Below are 16,698 nucleotides of genomic sequence, written 5' to 3'. Positions count from 1 at the left end.
ACATACAAATAAATAAATATTTATATAAATACATACTACAGATTATCATAAAATATTTTCTTAAAATCTGAGTATTTTCAATCAGTTTTGGCATTTGGTACTATAATAGTCTCTGAAAGATCTCTAAGCTTTAATAGTTCACTTACTTTGGCTGAGTGAACTTTTGAAATTAACTTTGAAATTTTGAAAACACCAATATGATCCTGTCCCTCATACCAACTACCTATGCTTAAAAAACATAACTGACTCTCCATTATTAAAACAGAATTTTTTTTTTTTTTTTGAGATATGGAGTCTCGCCCTGTCGCCCAGGCCGGAGTGCAGTGGCACCATCTCGGCTCACTGCAAGCTCCGCCTCCCGGGTTCACGCCATTCTCTCACCTCAGCCTCCAGAGTAGCTGGGATTACAGGCGCCCGCCGCCACGCCTGGCTAATTTTTTGTATTTTTAGTAGAGACGGGGTTTCACCATGTTAGCCAGGATGGTCTCCATCTCCTGACCTCGTGATCCGCCCGCCTCGGCCTCCCAAAGTGCTGGGATTACAGGCGTGAGCCACCGTGCCTGGCCCTAAAACAGAAATTCTTAACTTTATGGTGAGGTTGCAGATTTACTCACACAACATTCAGATGTGTAAAAAATAAAATAAAATAAAAATATAAAAAACCTCCTTTATTTTTTATTTACTGTTCTGGTCTTCAAAGACCTCATCAGTAAAAGACCTCATTTACTTAAAAGACCATAAAAGACCTCATTTACTTAAAAGACCTCATTCTGAGAAGTATCAGAGGAAAAAGAATCTGGTAAGTCAAAAGATGGAGAAATTTTGGTGCATGCCCCTTTAAACAGTCTCTAAGTAATTTAGGCTATTTAAATGAGCCAGGAAAATCCAAAATCAGAGTTCTGTCCCCTCTCTTAACCTTCCTCCTAGGTGACAATGAAGTTTATGAGAAAAGTAAAGATAACACAAGATCTCATGCTGCTGGAGGACGGAGAAATAAGACTGTTTGAAACTCCCCAGAGTTCTGTGGGTCCTGGCTGGCCTATGCATGAAGTGGTTGTTCTGGGACCCTCCCAGTAGTGATCATAAAGTGCTACTCTTCTGAAGGGATGGGTTGCCCCTCCACACCTGTGGGCGTTTCTCATTAGGTGGAAAGAGAGACTTGGAAAATAAACAGATGCAGAGGCAAAGTATAGAGAAAGAAAAATGGGCCCAGGAGACCAGCATTCAGCATACGGAGGACCCACGCTGACACCGGCCTCTGAGTTCCCTTACTATTTATTGATCATTATCGGGCATTTCCCAGAGAGGGGGATGTGGCAGGACAATAGGATAATAGTGGAGAGAAGATCAGCAGGTAAACACGTGAACAAATGTCTCTGCATCATAAACAAGGTAAAGAAAAAAGTGCTGTGCTTTTGATGTGCATATACATAAACATCTCAATGCCTTAAAGAGCAGTATTGCTGCCAGCATGTCCCACCTCCAGCCCTAAGGCAGTTTTCCCCTATCTCAGTAGATGGAATATACAATTGGACTTTACACCGAGACATTCCATTGCCCAGGGAGGAGCAGGAGACAGATGCCTTCCTCTTATCTCAACTGCAAAGAGGCGTTCCTTCCTCTTTTACTAACCCTCCTCAGCACAGACCCTTTACTGGTGTCAGGCTGGGGGACAGTCAGGTGTTTCCCTTCCCACGAGGCCATATTTCAGACTATCACATGGGGAGAAACCTTGGACAATACCTGGCTTTCCTCGGCAGAGGTCCCTGTGGCCTTCCGCAGTGTTTTGTGTCTCTGGGTACTTGAGATTAGGGAGTGGTGATGACTCTTAACAAGCATGCTGCCTTCAAGCATTTGTTTAACAACGAACATCCTGCACAGCCCTTAATCCATTTAACCCTGAGTGGACACAGCACATGTCTCAGGGAGAACAGGGTTGGGGGTAGAGTTACAGATTAACAGCATCTCAAGGCAGAAGAATTTTTCTTAGTACAGAACAAAATGGAGTCTCTTATGTCTACTTCTTTCTACACAGACACAGTAATAATCTGATCTCTCTTTCTTTTCCCCACATTCTTCCCATCACCTTTCCTTTCTGCTAGCCTTGACCACACCAAATCCCCAGGTACCATGCCCTCTTTGCACCATGCTAGGCTCTCCAGGTCTCCCAGTTCACCTTGTACCCTCAATATCAAGATAGCAGGCTGAGCATGGTGGCTCACGCCTGTAATCCCAGCACTTTGGGAGGCCAAGGCGGGTGGATCACTTTAGGTTAGGAGTTCAAGACCAACCTGGACAACATGGTGAAACCCCATCTCTACTAAAAATACAAAAATTACCAGGCGTGGTGGCGGGCACGCGTAGTCCCAGCTACTCGGGAGGCTGAGGCAAGAGAATTGCTTGAACCTGGGAGGTGGAGGTTGCAATGAACTGAGATTGCACCACTGCACTCCAGCCTGGGTGACAGAATCAGACTGTGTCTCAAATAATAATAATAATAATAATAATAATAATAATAATAATAATAACATAAGGATGCTTCTGTGTCTCTTCTATGTCACATCCCCCGCTCCAAGTAAACAGGTGCCTTATGCTAGCATCTACACATTGTGTACATGAAAAGGCAAAGAGAAAAAGATACATTAATATTTTTCAAACTGGAAAATCTGCTTGCTGCCAGTCTACTCCTCTGGTCTCATCTGGCAACATGTAATTCTAGCCACACAGGTGTTTTATCAGTCTTTCAAACTTCCACTTCCTGCCATGATGGAATAACAGGGACTTAATTTACCCTTCCATGTGAAACAACCATAAAAATGGACAAGACATAAAACAATGGCTTGTAGATACTGGTAGCACAGGACTGCAATTCCTGAGACAAGGAAAGCAAACGATGTGAGCCCTGCAGTTGGATCAGCTCACCGCCTAAAGAGTTTGCAGGCTGCAGTGCAGGGTGGGTGCAATGGTTTGAATGTGTACTCTCCAAAATTTAGGTGTTAAAACTTACTGGCCAATGTGAGAGTATTAAAAGGTGGAGCTTTTAACATGCAATTAGGTCATGAGAGCTCCTCCCTTGAGAGTGGGATTATGGCCCTTATAAAAGATGCTTCACACTTGCCCCTCCACCTTCTACCATACATGTGAGAAGACAGTTTTCCTCCCCTCCAGAAAATGCAGCAACAAAGAACTATCTTGGAAGCAGAGAGCAACCCTCGCCAGACAACCAAACCTGCTAGTGCCTTGATCTTGGATTTTTCAGCTTCCAGAACTGTGAGAAAATTAATTTTTTCTTTATAAATTACCCAGTCTCTTGTATTTTGTTATAGCAGCACAAAATAGAAAAAGATGAAGAACCTAGGAGAAGTCCATTGACTTCCCTGAGTTGAGGAGATGGAGCTGAGAGTTCAAGGAGGCCAAGGAAGCAAGAGTTCACAAGGCTGTCAAAGCTGTCAGAATCAAAATGGAGTTACTTGTGTCATGCCCTGACAAAATGGACCTGAGGAAGGCCATGAAGGGAGGGCTCTCATGCATGTTTGCCTGATAACAAAACTATCAAAACAGACTGCAAAAACCACAACCTTGCACAAAGGTCACCACAACCTTGTCCAGTAAATGCTTCTGCAAGGGCGTCTGCCCAGCAACTTTCTGTTTAACCTTGGACTGATTTGCCCTTGTTATTGATCTTTGTAGCCAAGGATGATTGATTTAAAAACAAAACAACAAACAAGAAAACATAGGTAATCCTCCTCATTTGCCTTTAAAAACTCCCCATTGCCTCAACCTCTTGGAATATGCACATAATTTACATGTTATGCATATTCCCATTGCAATGCTACTCCTGAATAAATACTATTTTCTTTTATAGAGTCTCCCTGTCTGTTTGTTATTTAGTTGGACATGGCAGACTACCGCAGAGGAGAGAACTATAGAGAAAGAAAACCCAGAGATCTGCAGAGGGTCCCCCTTGAGTATTCAGCCAAATATTGATCAGGATATGCATGTGAGCAAATTATCCAAAGCTGGAAAAAGAAACACCCAAGCAGCAGGGGAAACAACCCTTAGGGTTCACCCAGAGCTGAGAATAGCTTATGTGCCCACCGGTGAGATTGGAAACTGAAGGGTGGCCTGCCCCTCCACACCTGTGGGCTTCTCTCATCAGGTGGAACCAGAGACTTGAGAAAAGAAAGAGACACAGAGACAAAGTACAGAGAAAGAAAAGTCGGCCCAGGGGTGCTCAGCATGCGGAGGACCCCTGCCGGCACAGTCTCTGAGTTCCCTCAGTATGTATTGATCATTATCGGGCGTTTCTCGGACAGGCGGATGTGGCAGGACAATAGGGTAACAGTGGAGAGAGGGTCAGCAGGAAAACATATGAACAAATGTCACTGCATCATAAACAAGGTAAAGAAAAAGTGCTGTACTTTTGATGTGCATATACATAAACATCTCAATGCCTTAAAGAGCAGTATTGCCTCCAGCATGTCTCACCTCCAGCCCTAAGGCAGTTTTCTCCTATCTCAGTAGATGGAACATGCAATCGGGTTTTACACCAAGACATTCCATTGCCCAGGGACGAGCAGGAGACAGATGCCTTCCTCCTATCTCAACTGCAAAGAGGGCTTTCTCTTTTACTAATCCTCCTCAGCACAGACCCTTTACTGCGGGCTGGGGGATGGTCAGGTCTTTCCCTTCCCACCAGGCCATATTTCAGATTATCACATGGGGAGAAACCTTGGACAATACCTGGCTTTCCTAGTGTCCCTGGGTACTTGAGATTAGGGGGTGGTGATGACTTTTAACAAGCATACTGCCTTCAAGCATTTGTTTAACAAAGCACATCCTGCATAGCCCTAAATCCATTAAACCTTGAGTCGACACAGAACATGTTTCTGCAAGCACAGGGTTGGGGGTAGGGTTACAGATTAACAGCATCTCAAGGCAGAATAATTTTTCTTAGTACAGAACAAAATGGAGTCTCTTATGTCTACTTCTTTCTACATAGACACAGTAACACTCTGATCTCTCTTTCTTTTCCCCACAGGAAACCCTCTTAATTCAAGGGGCATTGGATAGAATACTAAAAACATTACTACTTTACTAAAAGGGCAAAATTGGCTACTAAATGCTGCTCTGGTCCCATTTAACAAATCTTAAGAACAAAAAACAGAAGCAAACTGTTTCTAAGTAATTTAACAGCATCCTAGGACAAAATTCAAGAATATGCATAGAAATACAAAAATATTCAACTCCCAAAAAGGTAAAATTCACATTTTCTAGCATATAATTAAAACTTACCATAGTTACAAAGAAGCAGGAATATATAGCCCATAATAAGGATAAAAATCAATCAATAAAAACAGACTTAGAAATAACACAGATTTAGTAGACAAGAACATCAAATCAGTTAGTATAAATACATGCCATATATTCAAGAAGCTTTGAGCATGCAAAGACATGGAAGATAATGGAAAAGAACTCAAATCAAACTTCTAGAGCTTAAAAATGCAATGTCTGCATATCATCTCAACGTAAGTCCTTAACACATACTGTTGCCTTTGCCTGGAACACTCTTCCTCTCCCACTTCATTTGCTGAAAGTAAACCTTCAGATTTCATCCTATCATCACTCTCTCAAGGAAAGTTTGCTTGGTCTGCAAGTAATATATCACATCCCTTGGCTAAATGATGTTATGGCTCCAAATACCATTCATTTACTGTCCTTATCACAAATACAATTTTACATTATTTGTGTAATCTCTGTCTCCATCACTATTCCAAGCACCATGGTGACACAACTCACGTACAGTTTTCTTCACTATTGTCTAGTGCCTTGCGTAGTGCTTGTAAATCCAAAATTGCAGACAGTTTAAAATTTGTCAGCTCAACTCTATGAGTCTTGATATTTCAAACTAGGAACATCTGTACATATAAAAACATAAATGTAGTCAGCCTTTTGGATGCAGAGAACTAACAGGTTTCCCCTCTCAATAGCTCCTTTAGTGAAGAAAACACAAAGTTTTTGCATTTCTTTAGCTGCAGTACCCAAGGGATATATAGAATTATACCTTTGGTTCTGAAGCAGATAGCCCTAATCTTTAATCCTATTTAATCCTATATTTAAATTTTAATTTAAATTTAATCTTTTTAAATTGTGGGAAAGGATTAATGGTATTAAATGTCTTTTATGTTCCTATATTAATGATTTGCACTTGGAGTTTTCTGAAATATTAGAAACGTTTGCTACAATTAACTAAGCTGGAGATAAATGCAAGTGTTACAGAATGCCAAAAGAGAAAATTCTATTTAATAGTTAAAAGGAAATTACTTCCAGCTGGTATGGCTGGAACAAAACTATTAAAAAAAATTTTTTTTAAATATATCAGTGGGATACTTTCAAGTAGTAGATCCTCTCTTCCTCCTTTGATTTTAATTGGGACCTCAGATGCTGGTGGGGACTCTACCATGCACTATTTACAGCAGTGAAAATGACTGATTATATTCCTAATTATTGAGTGTCATAGAAGCTGCAATCTTGGAAACATCACAGTACAGAGAGGAAGGTGAGCTGTCCTGCAGCAATATGAGGTAGGGCCAGTTTCTTCCTCTTATACTGTTTCTTTGAGCAATTTCTTTCTTGGAAGATAATTTTAGTAGGCCCAGTAATTGTCAAACATTAATATTTGAAGGGAATATTTAAATGTTTTATTATCACGAGTTGCATATTCAAATGGAACAAGCTGAATTGATATTAAGGTGCATTTTCTTTTGAGATAATGCAACAGCTGCCAGTGTTGAATCTTTAAAATGTAGCAGGATTCAAATGCTTAAACATTTCAATGTTAAACACGTGAATTGGAAGTTTAAAAGTGTGTTTAAATTAAGCTAATTAATGTTCTGTGTAGCCCTAGTGTGCTCTAAGTGAAAAAGGCATCGGTTAGCACCCTAAAATTCTATTCAAGTGGCCACCTCATCCTCTTACGATGGGGCCAGTTGCTCTAATTTGTCTGTCTTTTAAAAAATTATAGACCTCCCAGCTAGAAAGATGTGTCAGCCTCCTCCTCTTCCCCAGCTAGAAAGATGACCCAAGACTGAGAGTCCATGACCATCAGAATATACCTTTTAGATCTTTTTCACACCAGGAAGATAAAATTGTGGATATTTGAACAATTAAAGTGTGTTGTGGTTTATGCTGTGTAAAACCTTTGTATTAGCTGAGTAGGCTGCTATGTTAAAATGGCAAACATTACACATCCGCTATGTTAAAATGGCAAACATTACACATCATTTCCACCCACAACCATTGACCAAAACGAATCACAAGGTCCTGCATGATTGCAAGGAGGTTGAGAAATATGGACAGCAATGGAATGTTCAGTGAACACCACTATCTTTAGCACAAACATTAACTCTGTCTTTAAGGATGTGAGACTTGGAAAGAGGAATGCCAACATTTAAGTGTGCCTGGGTGTGTGTTTGTGTGTAACTGTTCATTTGCTCCTATTGAATCACTCTCATGGTGCCACAGAAACCAGGGGCAAGGTCTCATAAGAAAAGAATAGTGTCTTGATGGTAGTTATTGAAAGGAATCTTGAAATATTTGGACAAATACTATTTTCTTTTAAATTCATGATTTTGAAAGAAAAAATCTAAAATACGCTCAAAATAAAGAATCACACTTTACCTTATCTTACTTTTTGAACTTTCCCTTCTATAAATACATGTATTTTGTATTTTTACAAAAAATAGATGCAAAAATTCTCTCTCAATCATGCAAGCACGCATGCATAATATTCAAAATTCCTCCTTGGATAATTGGAAGTACTTATTCCATAAGAATTTTAGTAAATGGAAAAAGATATGTCTAAAATTTTGACTTATTTCTGATACCAGGTTTCTGTAGGGGAGGAGAAACAGCTTGTATATTTTCCTACCAGAATCTAAAACACAAATTTGAAAGTTTCAAAAACTCCAAATAAAATCACTTCATGATTCTCTTGCTGTTTGTACTCCAGTTAACCCTATGGCGTTTTCTCTAATCAACTATTAGTCAGACTCACATTTCTTCCCAATTCCCTGCGTGCATTAACAGTTCAATGTTAAAAATAAGATACTCTTCATTTTCAAGTATAATACAATAGCCTCAAACTGCTCAGGGAGTTTTAAGAAGATTCCATGTGCAACTGCCCCTAAAAGTTTCCCACAACACATGAAGAGAGAGCTTGTGTGTGTGTGCATGTGTGTATACACGTGTCGGGGGTAGGGAGAGGGTGATAGGTGTGGAGTACATTTGGTTAGGACTAAGTGTTTTCATAGGGTGTGTGTATGTATTCTAGAGATGAAACAGAAATGGAATTACCTCTCCCCAGCCTCCCCTGCTCCTTAAAGACAAAGTGCACAGAAAAGAATGAATAGATTCTCTGTTACCAGACCCCATATCTAGAGATTGGAGACAAGCTTCACAAAGGATTTCCTTTAACCAATAGGAGAAGGGGTGAAGAGAGACTTGGAAAGAATTTATCCAGTCAAGATAGAAATAGTCTATCAAAAACAGACCATTAGCCCAGACAGTAATTATCTTGGAAAAAGAAAAACAAACCATTAGGATTTCTTCAGGCAACTTGGACCTGACATTGACACTGAAAGATGACTTCTTGATTTTAGGACTGACCTATGGGAGGAACAACTTGGACTCCTGTGTTCACCTGTGCCCTCTTCACTCTTTACAAATTTACTTGGATGACGACTTCCACTTCATATAGGTAGGTTTTTCCATGTGAGATACATGTGAAAATTTCTATGTAGGTAGCTTGGAAACGGTACTTTGTTAATTAAAAATTTTTACGTTATTCATTAAGAAGTCCTATCTAAGAAAGAACCCTCAACCTAAATGATAGGTTTCCAAGAACAGTAAATTAAGTTAAATTTTCCTGAACTGGCACTGCTATGGATTCAATTGTGTCCCCTTAAAATTCATGTTAAAGTCCTAACTCCCAGTACCTCAGAATGTGACCTTATTTGGAAATAGTGTGATTGCAGATTTAATTACTTAAGATGAAATCACAGTGGAGGAGAGTAGGCCCCTCTTTCAATATGCCCAGTGTTATTACAAAAAGTGGAAATGTGGACACAGACACACATGCAGGGAGAATGCCATATGAAGATGAAGGCAGACATGGGGTGATGCTTCTACAAGCCAAAGATTGTGGGCAAACCACCAGAAGCTAGGAGAAAGGCATGGAAGATTCTCCAAAATCTTCAGAAGGAACCAACCTTGCCGACACCTTCGTCTCAGACATCCAGACTCTGGACCTCCGACACAAAAATTTACCATTGTTTAACCCATCCAATCTGTAGTATCTTGTTAAGGCAGCCCTAGCAAGCGAATACAGGCACTAAGAGCAAATATACTTTACCCCATGAACACTCATATGCTAAGTGCTTATCTCCATAAGAATCCAGGACATCAACAACATTTTTAAAAACAGGCTGGGCGCGGTGACTCATGCCTGTAATCCCAGCACTTTGGGAGGCCAAGGGGGGCGGAACACCTGAGGTCAGGAGTTCAGGACCAGCATGGCCAACGTGGTGAAACCCCATCTCCACTAAAAATGGAAAAATTAGCCAGGCATTGTGGCAGGCACTTGTAATCCCAGCTACTCGGGAAGCTGAGACAGGAGAATTACTTGAATCTGGGAGGCAGAGGTGGCAGTGAGCCTAGATCGCACCACTGCACTCCAGCCTGGGCGACAAGAGCAAGACTTTATCTCAAAAAAAAAAAAAAGGCAACATTTTAATATTGCCATGATCCTGTGTTTTCCACAATGTGATCTATTTTCATCACAGAGTGCAGCCACAACAGCTAATAGTCAAAAGGAAATACATAACCCACTAGGTTTCTTTGGTCTCATAATACATCTTACTATATAGGTTTTCTTATATTAGTATCATATCCTAGAGACCTAACAAGGACATCGTGGGAAAAAAAAAAAGACAATTTTCTGAGATGTCATTTTCAAAAAGAAAAATATGTAATGAAAGGAAAACTGAAAGACTCTTAGGAGAAAAGAGACTGTGCTCATGTTTACTTCACTAGGCCCTTGCACCTTTCCATATATTTTTCTCCACCACTGACCTAAGTTTCAGTAGGGAACAGATCCCTTCTCATATTCATTTGCCCACCTTTACTCTGCTTTCTTTCATAACTTTATCAACTTTCTACCTACTTCGTTCTTCCCATCTTCTCTTCATCTTCCCCCCATGACTCTCTTAGACACAATGCTGGAGACCCAGCTGCCATAACTTCATTGGAGGTTAAAGTGTGTGCAGAGTGGCTGTTGGGTTAGTTTTGCTGATCCCATTTAGCTACTGGTTAGAGGAAGTGATGAAAAAGATTTAAACTTGGTTTCTGGAAGTAAATTCCAACAGAAAACCCTTGCTGGACTTGGGGGTGTAGGGAGCAGCATGAGTCCAAACCCAGGCTTGGAGCAAGCCACGGAAGATTGCAATTGGACCTAAAAGGATAATGGTAAGAAGTAGAAGGGTGAGGAATGCAGAGTATTAAAGATGAGAATACCAGTAATAATAGCAATAACAATAATGACACTAAAATTCATGAACACTCATATGCTAAGTGCATATCTCCCTAAGAACCAGGACATCAACAAATATTTTTTAAAACAATGGCAATATTTAAAAAATACTTATCTACAACTTTCAAAAATGCTTTGAATGTGGACAACATATTATTTTATTTTGCTGATTGTTCAACAAGCATATGTGCTGAACAATGTTTTTTAAATATTGAATTTCTCTAGAGAAATCTTAAAAAAAAACCCTACTCTTTGGACAAAATGGTTTAAAATTCCAAGGATTATCCTATCATTATTATTTTGCATGAGATACTTTGATGTGCTTCTTTATGAAAATACAAACAGGATACTGAAGTCATCCCATTTTCAAAAATTTATTTCAAATTACTTAACTGGAAGATGGAGAAGTTGGTGGTATGGTTTCTGGAAGTTACCATCTATCAACCTCTGCCTCTTCCAGGCACTCCTAGTTATGTCAGAATTCTCCCACCACAGTGACTTTGTGGTTGACTGCTGTGGTCACAAGGATCTGGACTAACAAGGGACGTCTGGAAGAGGGGGTGTTTGACCAAGCTGAGAATTGCAGGAGAATTACTGAGAAAGAATGAGTTAAATCCTCATTAATTCAGACAATATTTATCAGTCACCAACTTTCTGGAAGATTCCCTGTTATGCTGCCAGCCACTCAATAACTGACACCCGTGTTGGAGAATTACAGCCTAGAAGGGAAGGGCTATGGCCCTATGGCACCCTCCCAATAACCCCTTGAAAATAGTTCTAAAAACAAAATGTTGATTTTTCTACTGAGGGGCCAGCATTTTGTATTTCAATTTTTCAATTTCTCTCTTTTTTTTTTTTTTGACAGGATCTCACTCTGTTGCCCAGGCTGGAGAGCAGTGGTGCAATCTCAGTTCACTGCAGCCTCAACCTCTGGCACTCGAGTAATCCTCTCACCTTAGCCTCCTAAGTAGCTGGCACTACAGGTTTGATCACACCTGGCTAACTTTTGTATTATTTGGTAGAGATGTGGTGAGGGGGGGTAGGTTCACCATGTTGTCCAGGCTAGTCTCAAACTTCTGGTCTGAAGCTATCTGCCCACCTCGGCCTCCCAAAGTGCCGGGATTATAGGTGTGAGCCACTGTGCCTCGCTATTTCAATTTCTCACAATTAAAGAAAGTTAATTAGAAACTATCTAGAAAATAATTAAGCTAATTTTCTGGACATATTATCTCTCTTTAATTTTTTCTTGGCAAACACATAGCTCTTATTATGTGCCAAGCACTGTTATAGTAACTTTTAAAAAATTACCTGATTATTTATTATAACAACCCTATGATGTATGTATTATTGTTATTTACCCCATTTTTACATGAGAAAATTGAGACCCAGAGCTAGTAAGTAACCCACCCAGGTTTACATAGCTAGCAAGCGGGTAATCTTTTAGTAAAGTGATAAAAAGACAAAATAAATTATATCAAAATAAAAACAAAAATAAACCATATTCCATATCCAGGGACTAAATTAAATTAGAAGAGGATTCCTTAAAAATTGATAATGCCAGCTACAGTGAGACCAGAAGAATAAGTCCTGGTGTTCTATCACACAATAGAGTGACCATAGCAAATAACAAGGTAGTACATACTTCAAGATAGCTAGAAGAGAAGATTCTAAATATTATCACCACAAGGAACTGATCAATGTCTTAAGTGATAGATAAGGTCATTACCCTGATTTGGTCATTATATATTAAAACATCACATTGTACCCCATGAACATGTGCAATTATTATGTGTCAGTTATACAATTTAAAAATTAATTAATAAAATAAAATAAATGGAATGATACATTTAAAAATCTTGAAGTTCATACTTTAAATGAGTGAATTGTGTGGTATGGAAGTAATATCACAATAAAGCTGCTGTAAAAAAATGAAAAAAAATTTTAATTCCATACTAATTCAGACAAAACATAGCTAAGAATATGTGTAGCTGAAAAAAAAATGTGGTGAGATAAAATAGTCCCAAAGAAAACTGGGCTATCCTATCACCACCTTCAGACTGGGTAAAGATCAATTAATTAATCTAGGTGAATATTTATTGGATGTATTTAAGTGTTTGGCCTATGCAGCCTCTTTTGGGTAAAACATTTCTTCACAAGCTCAAGTGATAAATACTATTGAGCTTTAGTTTCCGCCCTTAGAAAAATAGTAATAATGACAGTACCTATCTCATAAGCTTATGAAAGAACTTCTCCCATGTGGTGGTATGGTGTCCAGATAGGATTCCTGTATACTGGAAAGCAAATGCTCACCAATCAATACACCCCTCAAAATTTTTTTTTTTGAGGGGTGTATTGGGACCATAAAATGGTCCTTATGCTTTGCTGTGAATAAAACATAGCTGTAAAGAGAGAGAAGACTTCAATATCCACACAATTTAAAAGTAAATGCAAGCATGTAAATCAGTCAATACACCCAGGAAGAGCCAAAGACAGCTTCCTTAACTTCCTCAGCCCACCAAAAAAGGTTACTTTTCTTAGGTTAGCAAATTGGCTTCCTTATTTCTCTGATATCAGAGGTTTTAAAAATGCCAAAACTCTATGTATCAATGCAATATGAGACAAAGTGCTGTTCAGTTTGGAGGACTTTATGGAACTCATTTATGTACTGACCTCTTGGTAAATAACTTCTCAGATGAGAGATCGGGCTACAAAATACAGAAACAATCAACCCAGGAATCACATCTGTGAGGAAAGCTCAAGCTTTAAACTTTATTATATCTTGAAATAGAAAATCAAAACCATTCACAAATCTTCTGATTATGATGCATGAATAATATATTGTAAATTATAATTACATGATTATAACATATTATTGACTATCAATTGAATAATAATCTACTAGTACCTAATGAATAATTATCGATATTACCATATAGTTGTAATATATTATATGATGATAATAGTAATCTGTATGATTACAAAGCATGGTAATAAATAAGCTTTAACTAACAAGCTTCACTTTAAGAATTCTTAATTCCATTCACCTAGTATAGTTTAGGAGGAGAGGCTATAAACTGAATCCTCCAGTGGAACAATTAGAGGCTCCCTTGAGCTCACACCAAAGTGAATTTAATCTAGACCAAGATGCCTCAAGAATTATTTTATGAGCTGATTCAACTGACAACCTGTGGATTCACAGGATTCCCCAAGCCCATGGAAATACATTTTTAACGTCATGAGGCTGAGACTGCTCATCAGACCTTACCACTGGCTACATGGAAAGACCAATTCATGAATTTCAGGTGGGATGTCTACCTTCTTTCTTGCGAATCCCCCTGCTACCTATTCCTGGTTCAACCTTCGGCCCTCAGAGAGATTCCCCTTTTGATCATGGTGCTTGTCCTCCAGTGATTTCAAATTCTAGGAGAGCAAAGACTTTCTTGTTCACTAACAAACCTAAGTTTTCATCATACTGCCTGACACAAAGCATACATATAATGAATATACATATAAATTCACATACAAACACATATATAGATATATGTATGTGCCTGTATGTATGTGTACGTGTATTGAGACATAGAGGGATAATACGATGGATAGAAAGGGAGGAAGTAAGCTGACTTACCTATTATAGAGGCCAATAAGAATGAGAAAATACCCTATGTTTAAGTGCTTCTCAAAATCTCATGTACATAAAAAAATCTTTGGAGGATCTTGTTACATTGCAGGTCTCTGTTCAATAGGCGTAGGTCAGAAACTGTGATTGATATTCTGTGATCTAACCAGCTCCTAGATGAGGCCAGTGCTGCTGTTCCTCTGATCACACTCCGAATGGCAAAGCCCCAGATAACTTGGACCCAGGTGCTGGCCAATAATGAGTAATTTAGCAACATATGCCTCAAAAACCATGCACTACATAAGAGACAATAAGTTACTTCGTGACAAGTACTATGGTAAGTACTTTAGATAAATTTTCCCATTTGATCCCTTCTGCAACCTAGTAAATATTAGTATACAAATTTAATAATGTAGCAATAAAGAAATTGAGACATAAATAAGCTACATGGCTTTTGCATTTTATATCTAGCAGATACGCCTAACTCTAAGACTATATTGCTTCCCAAACAGAGACTGGATCCTGAAATGCCAAGGTTTCCACACCCTAGAAAACAGCAAATAAGGAATGGCTTTGGGGATGATTATTAGTGGGTTCATATCTCTGGGTTAGAATGAGATTTTCAGTTGAGTTCACGCCCTAATTTAAAGAGCAGTATTCACAGTGGAAACAGCTAAGCCTTGAGGCAAACATATCAGGGCTTAAAATCTTGTTCCACTTGCTCCAAGCTGTGTGACCTAAGTCATCTCACCTTGCTGAACCCAGTTTCCTCATGTGTAAAAACAAATTTGCATCATAGGGTTGCAAAGGTTTGCTGACAAAATCATTTTATAGTGCCTAGCACATTGGTAACCATGAACTCGTAATTAAAATGATTTAGTATTTTTTTTTCTGCTACCTTACTTTAATTCCACTCAGTTGTGAAGTCGGTAGCACAGATAAATTATCTGCTCACAAAAGTAAATGCCACTGATTTTGGTGTGGCACAACACTTCTGGAAAGTATTGGAGACAGTCTCCTACAGTATATTCTCTGCTTTAATGTTGTCATTAATAAAAACGGATTGTCTACCTCTTGCCACTTTGCTGAGGGGGCCAAGATGAGATGAATATGTGAAGCTGAATATCTGAGACAGGTCTCAGTTAATTTAGAAAGCTTATTTTGCCAAGATTGAGGGTGTGTGACCATGACACAGCCTCAGCAGGTTCTGATGACATGTGCCCAAGGTGGTTGGGGCACATCTTGATTTTACACATTTTAGGGAGATGTGAGACATCAAGCAATATATGTAAGACATACACTGGTTCCGTCTGGAAAGGCGGGACAACTCTAGCAGAAAGGGGGCTTCCAAGTCACAGGTAGGTAAGAGACAAACTGTTGCATTCTTTTGAGTTTCTGATTAGCCTTTACAAAGGAGGCAATCACATATGTATTTTATCTCAGTGAGGAGAGAAACAGAATTATCCTAAGCAGTTCCCAGCTTGACTTTTCCCTTTAGCTTAGTGACTTTTGGCGCCCCAAGATTTCTTTTCCTCTCACATTTTCCCCCTCCTTTCCTTTTAAAAATGTTTTAGGGAAAGCATTTTAAAAGAAAATGAGTCTCTGGTGTCAGGTTTTGTCTGATCTCTCATGGCTAGAATGGTTTATTCCTAGATAGGTAGGCCCCAAGCTGTTAGGAAACCCCATTTTTAGAAGGTTGAGAAGTTGCATGTCCTATGAAGAGAAAATAGGGAGAGGAAAAGAGAAAAATAACAACAAACAAAGAATCCTGGAGAATCCATATAGTCCACACTCCTTGGAAGTCCATACATTAGTAGGGAGGTAGGAAAGTGGCTTATGTAGGTAAATAGATTGCTGTTATTTTCTTCTGAAGATTAAGTTGTCTAGATTCAGTTCGTGGGGCTTTAAGAAAGCATAACTACATTCTTGGTGACTACTAATCAGCAAAAATGCAGGGGAAAAGAAAAAGAAGAAAAATTGAAAACATTGCTTTGGAGACTTGAAGTCAGGAAAAATTAGAATTCAGTCCAAATTGTAGAAAATAGTAAAAATTGAAAAACATTAGGCAAGACTAGAATCTAACAACAGGTGTACTATAGTTTTTGAAACCTAATTTTTCTCTCTGCAGTTTCCCAGGTTTACTAAAGACAAATCATGGTAGAAACCATTTGCTTCATTATGCCTGGCCAGATTATTTGTATAAAGTACAGCAAGAATAATTATTTTTCATATAGGCATTTAAATTAACTTTGATGGGAGGGGCACAGTGGCTCACGCTTGTAATCCCAGCACTTTGGGAGGCTGAGGTGGGCAGATCATCTGAGATCAGGAGTTTAAGACCAGCCTGGCCAATATGGTGAAACCCTGTCTCTACTAAAAATACAAAAATTAGCTGGGCGTGGTGGTGGGCACCTGTAGTTCCAGCTACTTGGGAGGCTGAGGCAGGAGAATTGCTTGAATCCAGGAGGCGGAGGTTGCAGTGAGCCAAGAT

General features: G+C 39.1%; 1 long non-coding RNA gene across 3 annotated transcripts in view, besides 3 other annotated features; it reads right to left on the bottom strand.

The window, feature by feature from the left end:
- LOC105377547 (uncharacterized) overlaps positions 1–16,698 on the bottom strand; it is a 43,658-nt gene that overhangs the window by 13,285 nt on the left and 13,675 nt on the right. The gene's annotated exons all lie outside the window — the stretch shown is intronic.
- Positions 1,234–1,880: an enhancer, noted in NCBI's record as "NANOG-H3K27ac hESC enhancer chr4:175304373-175305019 (GRCh37/hg19 assembly coordinates)". NCBI's record gives its function as "activates a minimal SCP1, AML or CMV promoter by ChIP-STARR-seq in naive H9 embryonic stem cells {active_cell/tissue: H9 hESC(naive)}" and the evidence as "EXISTENCE:reporter gene assay evidence [ECO:0000049][PMID:30033119]".
- Positions 1,881–2,528: an enhancer, noted in NCBI's record as "NANOG-H3K27ac hESC enhancer chr4:175303725-175304372 (GRCh37/hg19 assembly coordinates)". NCBI's record gives its function as "activates a minimal SCP1, AML or CMV promoter by ChIP-STARR-seq in naive H9 embryonic stem cells {active_cell/tissue: H9 hESC(naive)}" and the evidence as "EXISTENCE:reporter gene assay evidence [ECO:0000049][PMID:30033119]".
- Positions 9,197–9,755: an enhancer, noted in NCBI's record as "NANOG hESC enhancer chr4:175296498-175297056 (GRCh37/hg19 assembly coordinates)". NCBI's record gives its function as "activates a minimal SCP1, AML or CMV promoter by ChIP-STARR-seq in naive H9 embryonic stem cells {active_cell/tissue: H9 hESC(naive)}" and the evidence as "EXISTENCE:reporter gene assay evidence [ECO:0000049][PMID:30033119]".

The sequence above is a fragment of the Homo sapiens genome, chromosome 4 (genome assembly GCF_000001405.40).
Source record: "Homo sapiens chromosome 4, GRCh38.p14 Primary Assembly".
NCBI classification, from domain to species: Eukaryota; Metazoa; Chordata; class Mammalia; order Primates; family Hominidae; genus Homo; species Homo sapiens.
This window is presented reverse-complemented; position numbering and strand designations above follow the sequence as displayed.